The following is a 20,501-nucleotide window of genomic DNA, read 5'->3' on the forward strand; positions in this document are numbered from 1 at the left end:
CATGGCGCCTGGCCAGTTTTTTACATTCTGACTTGAGGGACTTCCATTCTGAATTACTTATAACTAGGACACTATATTGAAAAATCTAGTGAAAGCCTAGTTTTTCAGTATAGTTTTCTTTTTCATGTAATACATAAAAAATTATTGGACATCTTGGCTGCTAAGAGATTTTAGAAAAAGCAATATGGTGTTATCTACTTTAGCAATCTGTGACTACAGAAAAGAACTTTGACTGGGGTGTGATGGCTCATGCCTGTAATCACAACACTTCAGGGGGCTGAAGAGAGAGGACCACTTGAGGCCAGGCGTTTGAGACCAGCCAGAGCAGCAGAGTGATACCTTGTCTCTACAAAAATTTAAAAAATTAGCTGGGCCTTGTGGTGCACACCTGTAATCCTAGCTACTTGGGACGCTAAAGTGGGAGGATCACTTGAGCCTAGTAGGTCAAGACTGCAGTGAGCTGTGATTGCACCACTGCATTCCAGCCTGGGTAACAGGCTGGAATCTCAAAAACAAACAAAACAAAACAAAACTTTGACCCAGAGGCTTGGGCACGTATGATTAAGCATCCTAGTTGTACGTTGCCTCAGAGAAGGGAAGGAAAGAGTGAAACACTCACTAATTGGCACTGTCCATAGTGGACTTAGGAAAGGGAAAAAGAACTGATATTTATTGAATACATATTTTGTGCTGGGTAATATACCAGGTATTTTATATACGTCATTATATCCTCAACCCTGTGATAATGATTATCTCCATTTTATAAATGTAGAAACTGAGGCAGTCCCACAGCTAGAAACTGGTAAAACTAGAATTTAAACCCACGTATGTCTACTTTGAAGCCCAGTGCAGTTCTGCCTCCCCAAAACAAATTGGGAAAGAATTGATGTCATGATTAGGATCAGAAGGGACCTGTGTAATTAGGTGACATGAACTTAAATCAGACTGACCAAAAATTATGTTATCTTCCTTTGTGGGACAGGTGCTCTGTGTTGCGAACTTACTCAACTCTGCCATTAGAGCACAAAACAGTCATATGTAAATGAATAGTCATGCTTATGTGTCAGTAAAACTTTATATACAATAGCAGGCACCAACTGGATTTGGCCTGCTGTTAGTGGTTTCTCACCCCTGTTCTAAGTCACTGGAAGGTCTCTGGGAACATTAGCTGTACAGTAGTTTTTTGCTTATTTTTAATATATTTGAAGCAAAAGGAAATTTAATTTTTTATTTTTTCATTCATCTTAGTTCTGTCTTTTAAATTAACTATGTGTAGAATAAACAGACTTTCTGTTTGAGGCATGAGAGGGTACCCATTGATTCTACATGCAGCTAGTAACTCGTTAATTTCTGTTTGTGCTTCAGTTGGTTGACAGGACTAGGATTGTGATTGTCCCTTCTCTAAATCCAGATGGGCGAGAGAGAGCTCAAGAGAAAGACTGTACTTCAAAAATAGGACAAACAAATGCTCGTGGCAAAGATTTGGATACAGACTTCACAAGTAAGACTAATTTTTAGGCTACTAAAGTACTTAGGAGATAATTTTCTTTCTGCTAGAAGATTGATTGATCCTATTTTGTCAGTGAATAATGGAGTACTTTCTTGTCTGGGTTATGAATGTGAGGTATAAATGAATTCAGACATCTGGAAAAGTTTTTGAATTTTTCTCCATTATTATTTGCAAAAATAATTTAAGTTTTTCATAGAAATTCAATCCATTATATTGGGATGTTTGTTTCTTCACTAGTTGTGTAGAGATGTGTATTCTCTCTCCCCTCCTATGTATGTGTGTATGTGTATACACGCACAACACACACGTATGTATATTGATTTGGAGAGCCCTATTTCTTATTTACTTAAATGGGACCTTTTTCATTGAATATGTATCATTGACATGGTTCAATTTCAGTACTTATAGATCTCTAACATTCTTTTTCTTTTTTTTTTTTTTGAGACAGAGTCTCACTCTGTTGCCCAGGCTGGAGTGCAATGGTACAATCTTGGCTCGCCTCCGCCTCTTGGGTTAAGCAATTATCCTGCCTCAGCCTCCTGAATAGCTGGGATTACAGGGACCCGCCACCATGCCTGGCCAATTTTTGTATTTTTAGTAGAGATGGGGTTTTATCATGTTGACCAGGCTGGTCTTGAACTCCCGACCTCGGGTGATCCGCCTGCCCAGCCTCCCAAAGTGCTGGGATTATAGGCATTAGCCACTGTGCCAGGCCCAACATTATTTTCTAATGGCATCTAGTATGCCATGAATCTATGACAGTACTCTTAATTTATTCAACCATTTTCTACTGATAGATATTTACTTTATTTCTGATTTTTTGCTTTTGTAAACAGTGCTGCAGAGAACACCCGGCTTTCTGAAACTCTAATTTTCTTCCAAAGATAATGTATTTGTCCATTTTCACACTGCTGATAAAGGCATACCCAAGACTGGAAAGAAAAGGAGTTTTAATTTGACTTACAGCTCTACATGGCTGGGGAGGTTTCACAATCATGCTGCAGGATGAAAGCCACTTCTTACATGGTGGCAGCAAGAGAGTGTGAGAAGGAAGCAAAAGCAGATCTGATAAACCCATCAGATCTCATAAGACTTATTCACTATCACAAGAATAATACGGGAAAGACCCGCCCCCATGATTCAGTTACCTCCCACCGGCTCCCTCCCACAACAAGTGGGAATTCTGGGAGATAAAATTCGAGTTGAGATTTGAGTGGGGACACAGCCAAACCATATCATTCTGCCACTGGCCCCTCCCAAATCTCATGTCCTCACATTTCAAAACCAATCATGCCTTCCCAACAGTCCCCCAAAGTCTTATTTCAGCATTAACTCAAAAGTCCACAGTCCAACATCTCATCTAAGACAGGTCCCTTCTGCCTCTGAGGCTGTAAAATCAAAAGCAAGTTAGTTACTTCCTAGATAAAATAGGGGTACAGGCATTGAGTAAATACAGCCATTCCAAATGGGAGAAATTGGCCAAAATGGAGGGGCTACAGGCCCCATGCAAGTTCAGAATCCAGCAGGGCAGTCAAATCTTAAAAGTTCAAAAATTTTCTCCTTTGACTCCATGTCTTGCATCTAGGTCATGCTGATGCAAGAAGTGGGTTCCCATGGTCTTGGGCAGCTCCACCCCTGTGGCTTTACAGGGTACAGGCTGTCTCCCAGCTGCTTTCACCAGCTGGCATTGAGTGTCTGTGGCTTTTCCAGGGGCATGGTGCAAGCTGTCGTGGATCTACCATTCTGGAGTCTGGAGGATGGTGGCCCTCTTCTCACAGCTCCACTAGGCAGTACCTCAGTAGGGACTCTGTGTGGGGGCTCTGATCCCACATTTCCCTTCTGCACTGCCCTAGCAGAGGTTCTCCATGAGGGGCCTGCCCCTGCAGCAAACTTTTGCCTGGACATCCAAGCTTTTCCATACATCTTCTGAAATCTAGGTGGAGGTTCCCAAACATCAATTCTTGACTTTTTTGCACCCGCGGGCTCAATGCCACATGGAAGCTGCCAGGTCTCGGGGCTTCCACCCATTGAAGCAACAGCCCGAGCTGTACCTTGGCCCCTTTTAGTCACAGCCGGCACAGCTGGGACACAGGGCACCAAGTCCCTAGATTGCCCCCAGCACGGGGACCCTGGGCCCAGCCCACAAAACCAGTTTTTCCTCCTGGGCCTCCAGGCCTTTGATGGGAGGGGCTGCCGAGAAGGTCTCTGACATGGCCTGGAGACATTTTCCCCATGGTCTTGGGGATTAACATTAGGCTCCTGGCTACTTATGCAAATTTCTGCAGCTGGGTTGAATTTCTCCCCAGAAAATGGGTTTTTCTTTTCTATTGCATAGTCAGGCTGCAAATTTTCCAAACTTTTATGCTTTGCTTCCCTTATAAAACTGAATGCCTTTAACAGCACCCATGTCACCTCTTGAATGCTTTGCTGCTTAGAAATTTCTTCCGCCAGATACCCTAAATCATCTCTCTCAGATTCAAAGTTCCAAAAATCTCTAGGGCAGGGGCAAAATGCTGCCAGTCTCTTTGCTAAAACATAACAAGAATCATCTTTGCTCCAGTTCCCAACAAGTTCATTATCTCCGTCTGAGACCACCTCAGCCTGGACCTTATTGGTCATATCACTATCAGCATTTTTGTCAAAGCCATTCAACAAGTCTCTAGGAAGTTCTATGCTTTCCCACATTTTCCCATCTTCTTCTGAGCCCTACAAACTATTCCAACCTCTGCCTGTTACCCAGCTCCAAAGCTGCTTCCACATTTTTGGGTATCTTTTCAGCAACACCTGGCTCTATTGGTACCAATTTACTGTATTAGTCTGTTTTCAAACTGCTAATAAAGACATACTCGAGACTGGGAAGAAAAGGAGATTTAATTGGACTTACAGTCCCACATGGCTGGGGAGGTTTCACAATCATAGCGGAGGATGAAAGGCACTTCTTACATGGCAGTGGCAAGAGAGAATGAGAAGGAAGTGAAAGTGGAATCCCCTGGTAAACCCATCAGATCTTGTGAGACTTATTCACTATCACAAGAATAGCATGGCAAAGACCCGCCCCCATGATTCAGTCACCTCCCACTGGGTACCTCCCACAACACGTGGGAATTCTGGGAGATACAATTCAAGTTGAGATTTGGGTGGGGGTACAGCCAAACCATATCAGATAGGTTATTTATATATTCCCTAAATTATTTTGTAAAGCTGGATATGCTTATTCTTTTTGTTTTTTTAATAAGATTTTTCTTTAACTTGCTTAGAGTCATTAGTATATACACATCCTGAAGTACATAATAAAACTCAGACTAACCTACCTTCTGTAATGTATCTTTCTTGCTTGAGATAGTGGCTTATGGAGAAATAAAATATTTATCTACAAATTTTTAAGTTAGCATTTTGATTGTATTCAAGTAGAGAATATTTTCTTAGATACTCATACTAAGATTTAAAATTTGATATTTTATATTTGACTTTTCTCTTTTTTAGATAATGCCTCCCAACCTGAGACCAAAGCCATCATTGAAAATTTGATTCAAAAACAGGACTTTAGTCTTTCTGTTGCCTTAGATGGTGGTTCCATGCTGGTCACATATCCTTATGACAAGCCAGTACAGACAGGTATGTAGAATGTCATTTTATATATATACTGTTTAAGCTTAGGTAGCAAATCCCAATTAAGTAATGTCCCTTCCACATTTTTATAAATAGTGAGCATTTGAGCACACTCTATGAGCAAATTACCAACCAAAGAAGATTGTACATACATCAGCAGTTCAGTTACTTGGAGAGCTCAGATCTAATGGTAGCCCAGCTTTATTGAGTCTAGCTATCTTGTTCCATCTGTTCCATTTAGTCCACAAGCATTTACTGAGCAATTATTATGTCTGTAAATATTGAGAATATAAAAGTGAGTATGACACGGTTTCTGCCTCATGAAACTCCTATGTAACCAAATACTAACAGTACAGATTTGTCCTTCCCTGTTTTAAACTTTGACTAAGTGGTTGCACCTTATGGTGAGTTAAATAGTTGGTTGTTTAATCTCTGTGGGGTCGCAGTATATGGAGATAGTTTGGGTGGTTTTCAGTGCATCTTACAAAGAATATTGTTATTAGGCTACAGTTGTCCCAAAATGCAGTAAGACATACCAAAACAAGTTTGTATTTTAGTGTGATAGTCTGTTGTGAAAACTCACCATTAGAACCTTTTCATGTAAAGAGGATGTTTGTCTTCTATTATCTTGGGCTAAATAAAACCTTTTAGGGTTAATTATAGTAACAGTATACTTAAGTGGAGTGCAAAATTTATTAGGAGAAAAAGATGACTTGTATCCATGAAGGTTAACTTGGGGGAAAAAAATCATTTGGATTTCTCCACTGACTTCTAAATTTTTCTTTCTATAGTGGAAAATAAAGAGACTCTGAAGCATTTGGCATCTCTTTATGCAAATAATCATCCATCCATGCACATGGGTCAGCCCAGTTGCCCAAATAAATCAGGTAGATGTTTTCCATACCTTTTGTTATTGCTGTTGTTGTTGTTGCTTTTGTGGGGAAAGGAGTTTCACCTTAAGGTCTTCCTGATTCCACATCTCTTAATGCTTTTATAGATGAGAATATTCCAGGAGGAGTAATGCGTGGAGCAGAATGGCATAGTCACCTGGGCAGCATGAAGGTATGCTTTCTAGAACATGGTTAGAATGGAGTTATGGCCAGGCACAATGCCGTATGTGTAAACCCAGTGCTTTGGGAGGCCAAGGCAGGTGGATTTTCTGAGTTTGGGAGTTCAAGACCAGCCTGGCCAACATGGTGAAACCCCATTTCTACTAAAAATATAAAAATTAGCTGGGTGTGGTGGCAGACGCCCGTAATCCCAGCTACTTGGGAGGCTGAGTCAGGAGAATCGCTTGAACCTGGGAGGCGGAGGTTGCAGTGAGTCGAGCCGAGATCGCACTACTGCACTCCAGCCTGGGCAACAGAGCAAGATTCCATCTCAAAAAAAAAAAAAAAAAAAAAAAGAATGGAGTTTATGAATATCAGCCATTGAGTACAAGAATAGGTGACTTTTCTGGTATTGTAAAGTGAATGGCATCTGCCTCATGGCTTTCTTGACATGTTTAGCCCTTACATTAACCCGACAGTACTTTTTTGGCCATTTTAACCATTTTTAATTGTACAGTTTAGTGACATTAATTAAATGTTGTGCCCCAAAAACCATATCTATTTCCAAAACTTCATTTGCCCCAGACAGAAACTCTGTACCCACTAAGCAATAACTCCCTATTCCCCTCTCCCACGGCTCCTGGAACCCCTGTCTACTTTCTGCCTCTATGAATTTGCCTATTCTAGGTATTTCATGTAAGTAGAATCATACAATATTTACCCTTTCACTTAGCAAAATGTTTTTAGGATTCATCCATTTTAGAGCATGTATCATTACTTCATTCATTTTTATGGCTGAATAATATTCTATTTATGTTTATACCACATTTTATTTGTTAATTCATGTGTCAATGGGCACTTGGATTTCTACTTTTTGGCTGTTGCAAATGATGTTGCCATGAAGATTGGTATTGCAGGTATCTGTTTGAACCCTGTGCTGCCATGAACATTGGTATTACAAGTATCTGTCACTTCTTTGGGGTAGATACCTAGGAGTGGAATTGCCTGGTTATATTGTAAGTCTATGTTTCACCTTTTGAGGAACCACCAAACTGTTTTCCACAGCAGCTGCACCATTTTACATTCCTTACCAGCAATGTTTGAGGTTTCCAATTTTCCCATATCCTCTCCTCACCAACACTTATTTGCTGGTTTTTTTTTTTTTAAACAGAGTCTCACTTTGTTGCTCAGGCTGGAGTGCAGTGGCTATGGCTCCTTCGCAGCTTATTGCAGCCTGAACCTCCCAGGCCCAAGCAATCCCCCCACCTCAGCCTCCTGAGTAGCCAAGACCACCCGCATGCACCACCATGCTGAACCAATTATTTTTAATTCTTTGTAGAGACAGGGTCTCCCTTTGTTGCCTAGGCTGGAGTTCTTTATATATTAATATAAAAGGCTGAGCGTGGTGGTGGCTCATGCCTATAATCCCAGCACTTTGGGAGGCCGAGGCGGGAGGATCACCTGAGGTCAGGAGTTTGAGACCAGCCTGGCCAACATGGTGAAACCCATCTCTACTAAAAATACAAAAAAATTAGCTGGGCGTGGTGGCAGGTGCCTGTAATCCCAGCTACTTGGGAGGCTGAGGCAGGAGAATCGCTTGAACTTGGGAAGCAGAGGTTTCAGTGAGCCGAGATTACACCATTGCACTCCAGCCTGGGCAACAAACACGAAACTCTGTCTCAAAAAAACGAATAAACAAACAAAACCCATTCTGGATGCTGTGTATTCTAGATAGGAAATTCTTATCAGATACATGATTTGCAAGTATTTTCTCCTATTCTTTAGGTTACCTTTTAAATTTCTTGATTATGTCCTTTGATACATGAGTTTTTAATTGTAACGAAATCCAGTGTACCTGTTTTTGTTGTTGTTGCTTTTGCAGTTGTTATCCTATCTAAGGATCTGTTGCTAAATCCAAGGTCATGAAGATGCCCCGCCCCACCCCATGTTTTCTTTTCTTTTTTTTGGAGGGCAAATGTGGGATGAGTGGGAGGGGCGGGGTACATGGCCCCCCTGCCCACCTCCCTGCTCCCTGCCGCCTATCCTTGTGTTTTCTTTGAAGAGTTTTATGGGCTTGGCACGGTGGCTCAGGCCTGTAATCTGAGCACTTTGGGAGGCCAAGGTGGGTGGATCATTTGATGTCAGGAGTTCAAGACCAGCCTGGCCAACATGTTGAAACCCCATATACTAAAAATACAAACATTAGCCAGGCTGTAGTGCTGCGCACCTGTAATCCCAGCTACCCGGGAGGCTGTGGCAGGAGAATTGCTTGAGCCTGGGATGGGAAGATTGCGAAGAGCCGAGATCTTGCCACTTCACTTGAGTCTGGGCAACAGAGTGAGACCCTGTCTCAAAAAAAAAAAAAAGAAAAAAAAGAGTTTTATGGATCAAGCTGCCATATTTCAGTCATTGATGCAGTTTATTTTTTATGGTATGAAGTAGGAGTTCAACTTCGTTTGTTTGTATGTAGAAATTCAGTTGTGTCAGCACTATTTGTTGAAAGACTATTCTTTCCCCACTGAATGGTTTTGGTATCCTTCCCAAAAATGAGTTTACCATAGATGTGTGGATTTATTTCTGGACTCTCAATTCTATTCCATTGGTCTATATGTTTGCCTTTATGCCAGTATCACTTTTTTTTTTTTTTTTTTGGTTGTTGTTTTCCTTTTTTTTAATTTATTTTTTATTTATTTTTATTTATTATTTATTATTTATTATTTATTTTTTTATTATACTTTAAGTTTTAGGGTACATGTGCACAACGTGCAGGTTAGTTACATATGTATACATGTGCCATGTTGGTGTGCTGCACTCATCAACTCATCATTTAACATTAGGTATATCTCCTAATGCTATCCCTCCCCCGACCCCACAACAGGCCCTGGTGTGTGATGTTCCCCTTCCTGTGTCCATGTGTTCTCATTGTTCAGTCCCCACCTATGAGTGAGAACATGCGGTGTTTGGTTTTTTGTCCTTGCGATAGTTTGCTGAGAATGATGGTTTCCAGCTTCATCAGTATCACTGTTTTGATTAATGTAGGTTTGTTGTAGTAAGTTGTAAAATTGGAACGTGTGAGTCTTTCAGCTTTATTGTTCTTAAAGATTGTTTTGGCTATTCAGGGCCCCTTGTCATTCCATTTGAATTTGAGCATTGGCTTTTCTTTTTCTGAGAAAAGGGGTGTTGGAATTTTGTTAGATGTTGTGTTAAAACCGTATATCACTTTGTGTAGTATTGACATCTCTACAATATTGTCCTCCTATCCATTATTTAGGTCTTCTTTAATTTCTGACAGCATTTTAATTCATTGTCCATCCACTTCAAATTAGGCAGGAGTTGTTAGCAGATGGGTGGTTGGCTGATCATTTTATTCACATGTGCAACCAGAAAATTGACTTTATTCCCATTTCTGCCTGTCTTCCCTCCTTTATTTACTAAGAACTTACTACTGGGAGGCATTTTGCTATATTAGTGATAAATAAAATATACTGCCTGGCCTATTGTACGAATTAACTGTGTTACATAATTAATTGATTTGATCTGGAAGAGAGCAACTCTCAGCAGGCCGTGAGAAATTAAAGACACAAAAAATTATATCTAGTCAGAGATACAGCCTTTTCTCTTTAGAGGAGATGGCATTTGGGCTGCAGAGATAGTGAAGCAGAACATTCCAGAAAGAGGAAGCAGTACATAGCAGAAGTCTAATTTAGTTAGAATATGGGGTGTAATGCAGAGCCACAGAAGTTTAAGAATGGAAAGAGTGCTTGTTGCTTTGAATGCTTTGTTTTAATAAGAATGGGAAACTGAGGTTTTGAGCAGGGGTAACAATATTGACATGATCTGAGCTATGCTATGGGAAAACTAATCTCTAAATAATCAGTTAAGATAGTTTGGAGGAAGGAGAGACTGGTACAGGGAGACCGGTTTGGAATTATCTAGACAAAAAGTAATGAGGGCCTAGGTTATGCTAGTGGCAACGAGAGTAGAGTCAAAGGATGACATTTTAGATATTCTATAGAGGTAGAATTGACAAGATTCAGCAAATTATGGATGATAGTGAGATAGAGAAGTCAAAGACAAGAGGTTTCATTGCTATGTAAGAAAATGAGTTAATACCATTAACTGAGTTAGGAAAAAGAAGAGATTTTGGGAAAAGGTGGTAAGTTGGGTTTTTGAACCTGTCTGCACAGGCAGTTCCTGTACCTTGATAATATCAATGCCGTATTGCAGGGAGTGGATATTGTCACCAGCAGGGGTCCAGGTTGAGGGTATGAGAGAGCTGATGATCATTATCTCCATAGCTTCAAGTACAACTGTGACATTTCTGGGTTTTGAGGGAAGCTGACCCTCTTCTGCATGTACTCATTCATTCATTTCTTCAGCAAACCCGAATAAACCCCATCTACCTGGCACTACCAGGCACTGTGGGAAGCACTGAAGATAGGAAAATGAATTCGACATAGCCCCTGTCCTCAAGGGCTCTCATAGAGTTTGTGATTGATTATAATACAGAGAGGTTTATTTATATTTGTCATAAAATGCTTTACAGCTTCTTTGTTTACGTCAGCTACGTTTTCTTTTCATTTACTCCATTTGTTGTATTACAAAGCCTTATTCTTTCTTTTACTTATTAATTTTCCCACATTTGATTTTGAACTTTATATTCTAGGATTATAGTGTCACCTATGGCCATTGTCCGGAAATCACAGTATACACAAGCTGCTGTTACTTTCCTAGTGCTGCACGACTCCCTTCCTTGTGGGCAGACAATAAGAGATCTCTTCTTAGTATGTTAGTGGAGGTGAGTCTTTTCCTTTTAACTAGAGGCAAACTCCCAGGAATATGTTCAGTGAAAACCTTTATCAAAACATTGTCTTTTACCAAAAATGTATATTATTTATTTTAAATTTATATAGAAAGAAGAGTTTTGGTCATTTTATGTTTCCTAAATAGATGCCATTTATTCACATCTCTGGAATCTGCTATAATTTAGGTAATTTGACCTTGCAAGATGCTGCAAGTTCTTTAATTTGAATATCACAGAGTTACTGGAGTCAGTATACCATGGTGGGAAGGAAATCACTCAAGGCATTGGAAGATTGGGTTCTAATGCTTCAGGCTATGACAATATCAGAGTTCTCTTTTATTTCCAGCTCTGTGAGCCTGAATATTGAATGAATAGCAAACAAGGTCAGAGTCAGTGGGGAGGGAAGAGAAGAAGCAGGCCATACAGAGTTTGATACTTGTTTGTGTGTGGTTTTTGTTTTGTTTGTTTGTTTGGTTGGTTTTGGTCATGCCTCAAGCTAGTGCCTCTACCATGTCTGGCATTATGACAACATAAATTTATATTTTAAACATTTTTTCAGGTTCACAAGGGAGTTCATGGATTTGTTAAAGATAAGACTGGAAAGCCAATCTCTAAAGCAGTCATTGTACTTAATGAAGGAATAAAGGTACAAACAAAAGAGGGAGGTTATTTCCATGTACTCTTAGCGCCAGGTGTCCATAACATTATTGCCATCGCTGATGGGTACCAGCAACAACATTCACAGGTAAGAAACTCAAATTGAGTAGCATCATGTAAATTTTTATTCTTAATAATACTTCTGTTTTATTTTGAAACTCTTGTTAGAAATCTTGAAGGGAATAAAGAAATTAAAAGTGTGACTGCCTCTTGATTATGATATCTTGTTATCCTTGTACCCCTTGCTAACAAAAGGGAAAATTTTCTAGCATTTTGTATACTTTAGATGGCAATGCATCATCTCCTTAGTTTGCTATATGGGGCCTAATAATATAGCAGGGATACAGTACACCTTAAGCAGAATTTGTCATGATTCTTACACTTTCTCCTTCTAGGTCTTTGTGCATCATGATGCAGCTAGTTCTGTGGTGATAGTCTTTGACACAGATAACCGGATATTTGGTTTGCCAAGGGAGCTTGTGGTAACTGTATCAGGTAAAGACATTTTGATTTTTAGTAGTAAAAGTTAAAAACAATCTTGACATTTCAATATGAGAGTGGGTCACCTCTCTCATATTGATCCTGAAACTAATCACTTGTCTTCTAATGTCTCCTTATCTAAATGTGATTTTCCTGGACCTCTGTTCTCGCATATGTTCTCCTGGCTTGCCTTTCTCTGCCGAGACCAGCTCCATCAAGGAGACCCTAACCCAGCGGTGCTAGAGAAATTAAAGACACACACAGAAATATAGAGGTGTCAAGTGGGAAATCAGGGGTCTCATAGCCTTCAGCGCTGAGAACCTCCAACAGAGATTTACCCAGGTGTTTATTAACAGCAAGCCAGTCATTAGCATTGTTTCTATAGATATTATATTAGCTGAAAGTATCCTTTATGGGAAACGAAGGGATGGGCCAAAATAAAGGGATGGGTTGGGCTAGTTATCTGCAGCAGGAGCATGTCCTTAAGGCACAGATCACTCATGCTATTGTTTGTGGTTTAAGAACGCCTTTAAGCAGTTTTCCGCCCTGGGCGGGCCAGGTGTTCCTTGCCTTCATTCCGGTAAACCCACAACCTTCTAGTGTGGATGTCATGGCCATCATGAACATGTCACAGTGCTGCAGAGATTTTGTTTATGGCCAGTTTTGGGGCCAGTTTATGGCCATATTTTGGGGGGCCTGTTCCCAACACTTCTCTTTCTTCAGGTCTATACTCAAACGTCACCTCCACGGAGAGGCTTTCCCTGATCACCCTAGCTACCCCTGTCACTATCTCTATCCTGCTTTTTTTCATTATAGCACTTTCATAACATTATATATTTGTTCATGTATTTGTCTATATTCAATCTCTCCCACTAAAACATAAGTTCTGAGAGAGGGAGGAATCTACCTGTATCCTCCAAGCCTAGAACGATGGTTAGCACGCAGTGGGTCTTAATGAAGAGTTGTTGAATGAATGAATGATTTGCTTTATATTAAAGTCATAAGTTCCTAGGACTTTGACTTATATTAGTTCCGCTTTTTCAAGATCCAGGAAAGAGGAAATGTTTGTTTACGCTGGAACTAATTCATGTCATTGCTTGGATTACTGAAAGGTTAGGAAGGAAAAAAATGTGGTAAAATGAATACTCTGCTATACTTTATCTATTTGATACAAACAGCCTTAGTTTATTTCTAAGTGCAGCTTGGATGAGGCAGAATAACCAAGTTTTATCACAGGGTTCCTGTGGGAGAGACCCTTAGTTGAGAGAAAGTAGTATATTGGAAACATGGCCCAATCATAGATCCTGTGTGGTGTGTTTAAAGGGTTCTTAGCTTGTCTCAGATAAAGTGTAAATAACTTAGTGGTTAAAAACACAGGAGGTAGAATTCAGCCATGGTTTAAATCTGGCTCTGTCACCCATTAGCTATTGTGAACTTAGTTTTTATTACTTTTAGTTTCTAACACTTTTATTTTGATAACCTTGTACAAATTTAAAATAAACAAGGAGATTTGGATGAAATGAAAGTTTACTGGAAAGGAAAAGTATAATAGAAGTCATAAAAAGCAGGTTGCAGAACAGTAGACACAGTATAATTTCATTATGGTAAAAGAAAAAAAATACATGTACGTGCATATGCATAAAGAAAGATCTGGAGCCAGGCATGGTGGCTCACGCCTGTAATACCAGCACTTTGGGAGGCCGAGGCAGGTGGATCACTTGAAGTCAGGAGTTCTAGACTAGCCTGGGCAACATGGCAAAACCCTATCTCTAGCAAAAATAAAAAAAAATTAGCCAGGTGTGGTGGCATGCACCTGTGGTACTACTTGGGAGGCTGAGGTGGGAGGATTACACACACACACAAAAGATCTTATAACTAAAAATGATCTCTGGGTAATGGAAATGTAAATATAGGAGGTTTTTTGGTTTTGGCTTTTGTTAGTTTGCTTATCTGTATTTTTAAACTTTGTATATTGTACATATACTGCTTCTATAATAATAAAGGTTGTTCTTAAGTGCATGAAATAGAAATAAAATAAATGAGGGGTATATTATTAAAAGTTCCATTGTAAGCGGCTGCTTATTAATATCCTTAAAGTATAATATCACCCACATGATGGTTTTTGTTTGTCAGGTGCTACTATGTCGGCATTGATCCTAACAGCTTGCATTATTTGGTGCATCTGCTCAATCAAGTCTAATAGACACAAGGATGGCTTTCATCGGCTCAGGCAGCATCATGATGAGTATGAAGATGAAATTCGCATGATGTCTACCGGCTCCAAGAAGTCCCTCCTAAGCCATGAGTTCCAGGATGAAACAGACACTGAAGAGGAAACATTATATTCTAGCAAACATTGAAAAACACATTTTGCATATCTCCCAGCATAAGTACCAAGCAAAATTACAGTTCCTCTTGGGAGAACACTGCATTAAGAAGAGAGACTCTCTTGCTTCTTCAAAGAGCTTTGGGAAATTAAATTGCTAAATTTGTATTCTCTGTGAATTTCACTGGCAGTTTTGAACTTCCCTTCCTTAAAGTACTCTAAACCTTTAAAAAAAAATCTGATTTATGCAGCAGAGATGGGACAGCCACTTTTTCTTTTTAATTTAAGATGAGCTATTTGGAGCTTATGTAATAATGGCATAAAGCCAACTAGAGGATGTTGTATTTTGCACATCAGATGTTTACTAGTGGCTTTAGTATTTTTCTTTGTTTTAAATGGCCAAAAGAATCCAGAAACATTAAGGCAGGGACAGCAGTCAGAATCGACATAAAGCTTTAAAAACTCAAGGTTTTTTCAACCTACTGAGGAGTACTTTTCTCTAGTTGTTAAATAGCTGGAGTTTTTCTTATTCAGGTTTAATGGAGGTTGAATTGATTTTTAAACACATATAACAGTAGGAAATGAATAAATGGGCTTCTGCATTTGGCTTTCTACCTGTTCCAAGGCTAGATCGGAACTGGTAGACTACGCTGTAAGCAGGATTTCACTACCTCTCTTAAGGTTTAGCAAACTTCTAAATAGCCCATTTTAAGGGAGAACTTACTAACTTTATTGTGAAAGGTCTAAATGCCCACTTGAATGAAGCTGAGAGAGAGATCTAGCAAAAGCTAAAACTCATGTTGTCTATCTTTGAACTTGGTAAAAACCCACAGGTGCTGCTGCTTATATCTGTGAAGCACTAGCTTATTCTAGGAATGCCTGATTCTTTAATATTGCCTAAATCGGAACCTTTTTCTATGTTGCACACATGGTTTTCAGATGACCCAGCCATCTACAAGATCTGAATTCTACTGAAAATATCTAGAAATGTGGAAGAGACCTACTTGCACATTCTTAACCTGTATTTGAACACAAAATATCTATACTTCATGCTCCAGCCCAAGCCTATACCCTGTAATAGCATACTATTATTGAAATCGCTTGACCGGTCTTGTTCACATAGGCCTCTGGGAGTGATTTGGTTCTTTGCCCTAATGTTTCATTTGACGGTCTCTTTTTGATCAACCAATTTTTCTAAAAGTTCAGTCGAAAGCTTTTAAGTATAGCTTCCTCCCTTGAAAAAAAATGTAAACTATGACTGCTGAGTGATAAAACACTGTGGTGTGAAAGTGTCATCTTCACTGCCAATCAGGCAAAGACCGGAAAGATTTGCATTTTATTATGTCTGTCTTATCATGCAATGGAAATGATGCTTTTTGTAAGTATGCATCTTACCAATGATGTAACGGTTTAATACCTTTGAATGTTTTAATAACCAAGTTGCTGCTGAACTTATACTAAATCAGGGGACCAAAAAACTTGCTCTTATCTTCTCAAATTGTATTCTATATCCATTAATGTATCAGTTATCCCAAAGCCTTCAGGTGGAGGGGTTTACCACCTTCCTAGGTCGTTCAACCAGGTTTTGTGAGGAATGCATTCAAAGTGGCTTTATAAAAGAAGATTTTCTTTAGCAAGAATAATGAGGTCATGTCATTTGTTAATAAGTATCTGTGATAAATCCGTGGTTCAAGGTTAAGCCATTCTGGTATTCTGGTATTAGCAACTGTAAATTCTGCCACCTCATACATGGAACAGAGCTTGTGGGATGCTAATAGTTAGTGAAGTATACATGATTTAATTTCTAATAATCTTTATGTTTTCTTTAAGGATGGTGGTGTATTGCTCTTTTTCAGCTTTATTTTTAAGAGTACAGTCAGGAAACCAACAAGGGGCCTAAGAGTGGCTGCCCCTGCTTGGGACATTACAGCAAGTGAAACAAAGTTAATGTGACAAGCTTTGCTTTGTTATCATTGGTCTTCACTAGAGGATACCTTTTACATGTACTTCTCTCTTGGATCAAATATGTCTTTAACTGTACATCTCAGTGGCTGGAGGCCATGCCTTTTAAGCATGTGTAAAATTTTTAAAGAAATGAACATACACATAGTTATTTTAGTAATATTTCCTGAAAGAAAAACCAAATTCTGCTATAAGTCTTGATCTTCAATGAACTTTTAAATAATGCATTTAGCTGGAAAACAAGACTTTCCCAGCTTGTATTACCTAGAAGCGTGAATGTATAGGATACCTGACTACTAAGACTATATTCTCAGCCCTGCCCTGTCTTTTATTTGCGGGTCTAATCTAATATTAGAATATATTAACCGCTTAAGGCATTGAAGCCATATGGGATGGGGAATGCATTTCTTCAGTGTTTCTCCGAGAGACTTTCCATTTCCTTGGAGTTATGGCGGCAAGTAAGTATCATAGTATTAAGAAATTTGCCTAAATCTGAGTTGTGCCTTTCTTTACTCACAAGGCATGGGCTTTGTCCTGGTGATCAGTTTGTAAGCCTTCTTCCTTCCCAGCTCCTTAATAAAAGCAAAGTGATTGAGTAGGTAATGTTCAAAGTGTCTGCCTGTGTACATGTACTTGTATTGATTATGTAGTTCAGTAAGATGTGCCCAAGTCATTTCAGAAAGAAAGACCCTTCAGTTTTGATGCATTTTGCTGAACACTTGGGTAGTGAGTGGGATCCTATCCAGTTGAGGAATGCTTGCAATGCTCATTGAAGGGATTTGCTTTGGGACTTTGTCATCTTCCAGAAAGGAAACATATTGTATATTTGGCCCAGTGTGATTGATTGCTTTATCTTTGGTAACTTTTACTTGAATGGGATTTGCTGAATTAATGACTATTGAATTTAAAACTAATTATGAGTTGACAAATAAATAAAAGGTAGTGTTTATGTCTGAGCTTATTGTGTTTGAGCTAACACCAGGTTACTCAGTAACCATGACCTGCTCCTCCATTTCCATTTATTCTCAACATTAAATAGTTTTATCTTGTTGTTGCCAGAAATGCACTTGTGCCAGGTATTGTCCCTGCTGTATGAAAAGCTTCTTGGCAATGAATTCTGTAATAGTGCCCTACATTATGGTTTTCTGGTGGAATTGTTTTAACAGTGACAACCCAGGATTTCCAATATATTTTTGTTTTATTGTTATTACCAAAAATTCCACTATGATTGATGTTCAGTGATTTTCTATAGCAACTTTTTTGGTAACTCTTTGGGTTTCTGATTTGTTTTAGCTAAAATTTTGGGGATATGATTTGGGTCTTTGATTAATGTCAGCTGAACTTGGATTTCTAGTTCATGAAGAAATCTCTCCCAATACCCATTTATCCTATTTTTAGCAATAATTCGTTAATGATTCCACTTGATTTTCAGAATATTGTCCTGGTTGATTTTGATTTGACAGCATACATTATGAAATTTGAAAGTAGGTTACCATTTTGAGGCAGTTGGATATAAATTATGTAAATATGTATGATTATGATTTTTATAAATGGCATAACATGAGTGTACTAACTACCTTCTATGCTGGCCATGCTACAGATTTTCTGGAGGTATGACAATAGTATTTTTTTATGCTCAGATTAAAAATCAGCTTTTCACCTCTCCAGTTTTTCCAAGTGATACTCCCAGTTCTAGAGCAATCTACAGCTGTTTATGTGAGGTGCCCAACACCCATTCATCTCAAGTGCTTCAGTCTTTGGTTTATTTCATGCACTGTGCCTTCAAAATGAAATTTTTAAAAGGGACTTTAAATGAAGTTGAATAGTAGTTTTTAAAAGTCAATTTGTAATTTATGTGAAATCTAACTGTAATGAGGTCCTTTCTGTTTTTTATATGTAAACAGATCTACTAATCCTGTATAAAAGTTATTTTACGATGTTTGTCTTTCTTTGTGTTTTGTCTCATAATCTTTTTTCAGATGCAATATGCCGGAAAAAGTTATAGGTCCAGTTTGAAAATTATTTAGTTTTTCTGCCTATGCTAGTGGAAAAATAGTACCAGGATCAGAATACAGGGTATCACCTATGGAATGTTTCTGTATTTATGAATTGACTCAAAAGAAAGCTTTGTTTCTGAAATCGCATTATGTAGTAGCCACAGTTTTCTGTTTGTAGCTCAGCTAGATTGTTATATATGTTCAATCATTTCACAATAACAACACAAAACTGGTCATTGAAAGGTTTTTATGTACGCATTTTAAACTTGTTCGTTAAAAATTTGGTCCTTTTTCCAGGTGAGGCCCAGTTAGAATAATGTGTCCCGGCACTTTTAGGCACAGCAAGGATGAATTCAATATCCCCTTTTCACTTAGCAACAATGTGTTACTTCTACCCTAATAGGAATTGGGAAAGCAAAGTTGTATGAGAAACAGACTCTGCTGATAAAGTACTCATAGTCCAGACCAGAGAAATATAAATGGAAATAGGTTATATTTCAATAGTGATTGGTTCATCTAAAAGTCTCTGCTGTAAAGGAAATAAAGCATAGAGGTTTGAGCATGGACTTTGGAGTTGGACCAATCTGTGACTGATTCTTCGTTCTGCTACTTGCTTCCAATGTGACCTTGTACAAGTTTCTTGACATTCTCTGAGCCTCAGTTTCTCTACTGGTTGAATAATCCTTGATAGGATTGCAGTGGAAAATTAAATGAAATAATGTTAGCAAAGGTCCCAACATAATATTTGACTTGGAATTGAATGCCCATGGTAACCAGCATCATTTTCCTTCATGTGATGTCTTCTTATGCCTTTGAAAGAAAGTTACTTTATCAAATGTATAAATAAAGATCTGTTTATAGGTGATCTTTTTAATTTAGAAGAAATTCTGAGACACAAATAAAAAAAGAAATTTTTTATTATGTGGTTCAATAGATTGTCTAAAGCATGGCAGTAAAGTTTTAATTATGCCAAGATGCTTCATATTTGTTTTTAAATGAAATTAAGTTGTATTTATGCTTCTTTAGTGAAAACAACGTTACTTAACTGCTACAGGAAGTGTGAATAGTGATAACAGTTCTTTTTCTCTCAGTGTTTGAAATATTTTCCTGAATTTTCTTAGTTTTCTCATACCTGAATCAAGAACCCTTTTGGTTTGTTTCATAAACAGTAATCTAGTTATTATGTTCAGCTTTTCAGATTTATAATAGCTGATTGTTCTCAGCAAATTAAACATGATGGTCAACGCTAATACTACTCAATTATGAATAAGTGCCATTGTGTGGGTCTTCATGTCTTAGACTCACTTATAGTTAGAATACCAACTGGTTCTATGCTATTTATTGCAAACCTCAGATAAATACACCATTAATTATTACACACAACTTTAAAGCAATAAAATCAGTAGATAAAGCCCAATTTTACCTTTCTCTCTCTCTATATATATATATGTATGTATATGTACATACATACACACGTGTATATGTATGTACATATACACGTGTATGTATGTACATACGTGTGTGTATGTATATGTATATACATACATACGTGTGTATGTATATGTATACACATACATATGTATGCATGTATATACATATACATACATATATATGTATATATATATATATATATTTTTTTTTTTTTTTTTTTTTTGAGACAGAGTCTCACTCTGTCTCCCAGGCTGGAGTGCAGTGGCACGATCTCGGCTCACTGCAACCTCTGGCTCCCGGGTTCACGCAATTCTCCTGCCTCAGCCTCCCAAGTAGCTGGAATTACAGGCATGCGCCATCACGCCCAGCTAATTTTTGTGTTTTTAGTAGAGACAGGGTTTCGCCATGTTGGCCAGGCTGGTCTGGAACTTCTGACCTCAAGTGATCCTCCCACCTTGGCCTCCCAAAGTGCTGGGATTACAGGCGTGAGCCACTGCGCCCGGCCCAATTTTAACTTTAATATCACAATTTTCACCTACATTAGTAGAATATTAAAAGTAAACATGCTATTTCTTTGGCATTTTAGTTGAGGTCAAATAATCCTCTTCCCTAATTACTGTGTAAACAAATGTAGACAAGGTAAGCACGAATGAGACAGGATGGCCTATATGGAGTA

At 38.6% G+C, this 20,501-nt stretch overlaps 1 protein-coding gene across 2 annotated transcripts in view; it reads left to right on the plus strand.

Annotated features, from left to right (window-relative positions):
• The window catches only part of CPD (carboxypeptidase D), a 91,063-nt gene extending 71,419 nt beyond the window's left edge, over window positions 1–19,644 (plus strand). The window contains exons 14-21 of one of the 2 annotated variants that reach the window (NM_001304.5): window positions 1,366–1,501; window positions 4,994–5,125; window positions 5,911–6,006; window positions 6,117–6,181; window positions 10,835–10,966; window positions 11,532–11,717; window positions 12,025–12,124; window positions 14,243–19,644. In NM_001304.5, the coding sequence (NP_001295.2) occupies window positions 1,366–1,501; window positions 4,994–5,125; window positions 5,911–6,006; window positions 6,117–6,181; window positions 10,835–10,966; window positions 11,532–11,717; window positions 12,025–12,124; window positions 14,243–14,469 (1,074 nt within the window). In that variant the 3' untranslated portion in view covers window positions 14,470–19,644. The remainder of the gene's footprint in view (window positions 1–1,365; window positions 1,502–4,993; window positions 5,126–5,910; window positions 6,007–6,116; window positions 6,182–10,834; window positions 10,967–11,531; window positions 11,718–12,024; window positions 12,125–14,242) is intronic. The other variant, NM_001199775.1, reaches the window with a different exon arrangement.
• Window positions 19,645–20,501: the final 857 nt, after the last annotated feature.

Source organism: Homo sapiens, chromosome 17 (assembly GCF_000001405.40).
Source record: "Homo sapiens chromosome 17, GRCh38.p14 Primary Assembly".
Taxonomy (NCBI): Eukaryota; Metazoa; Chordata; class Mammalia; order Primates; family Hominidae; genus Homo; species Homo sapiens.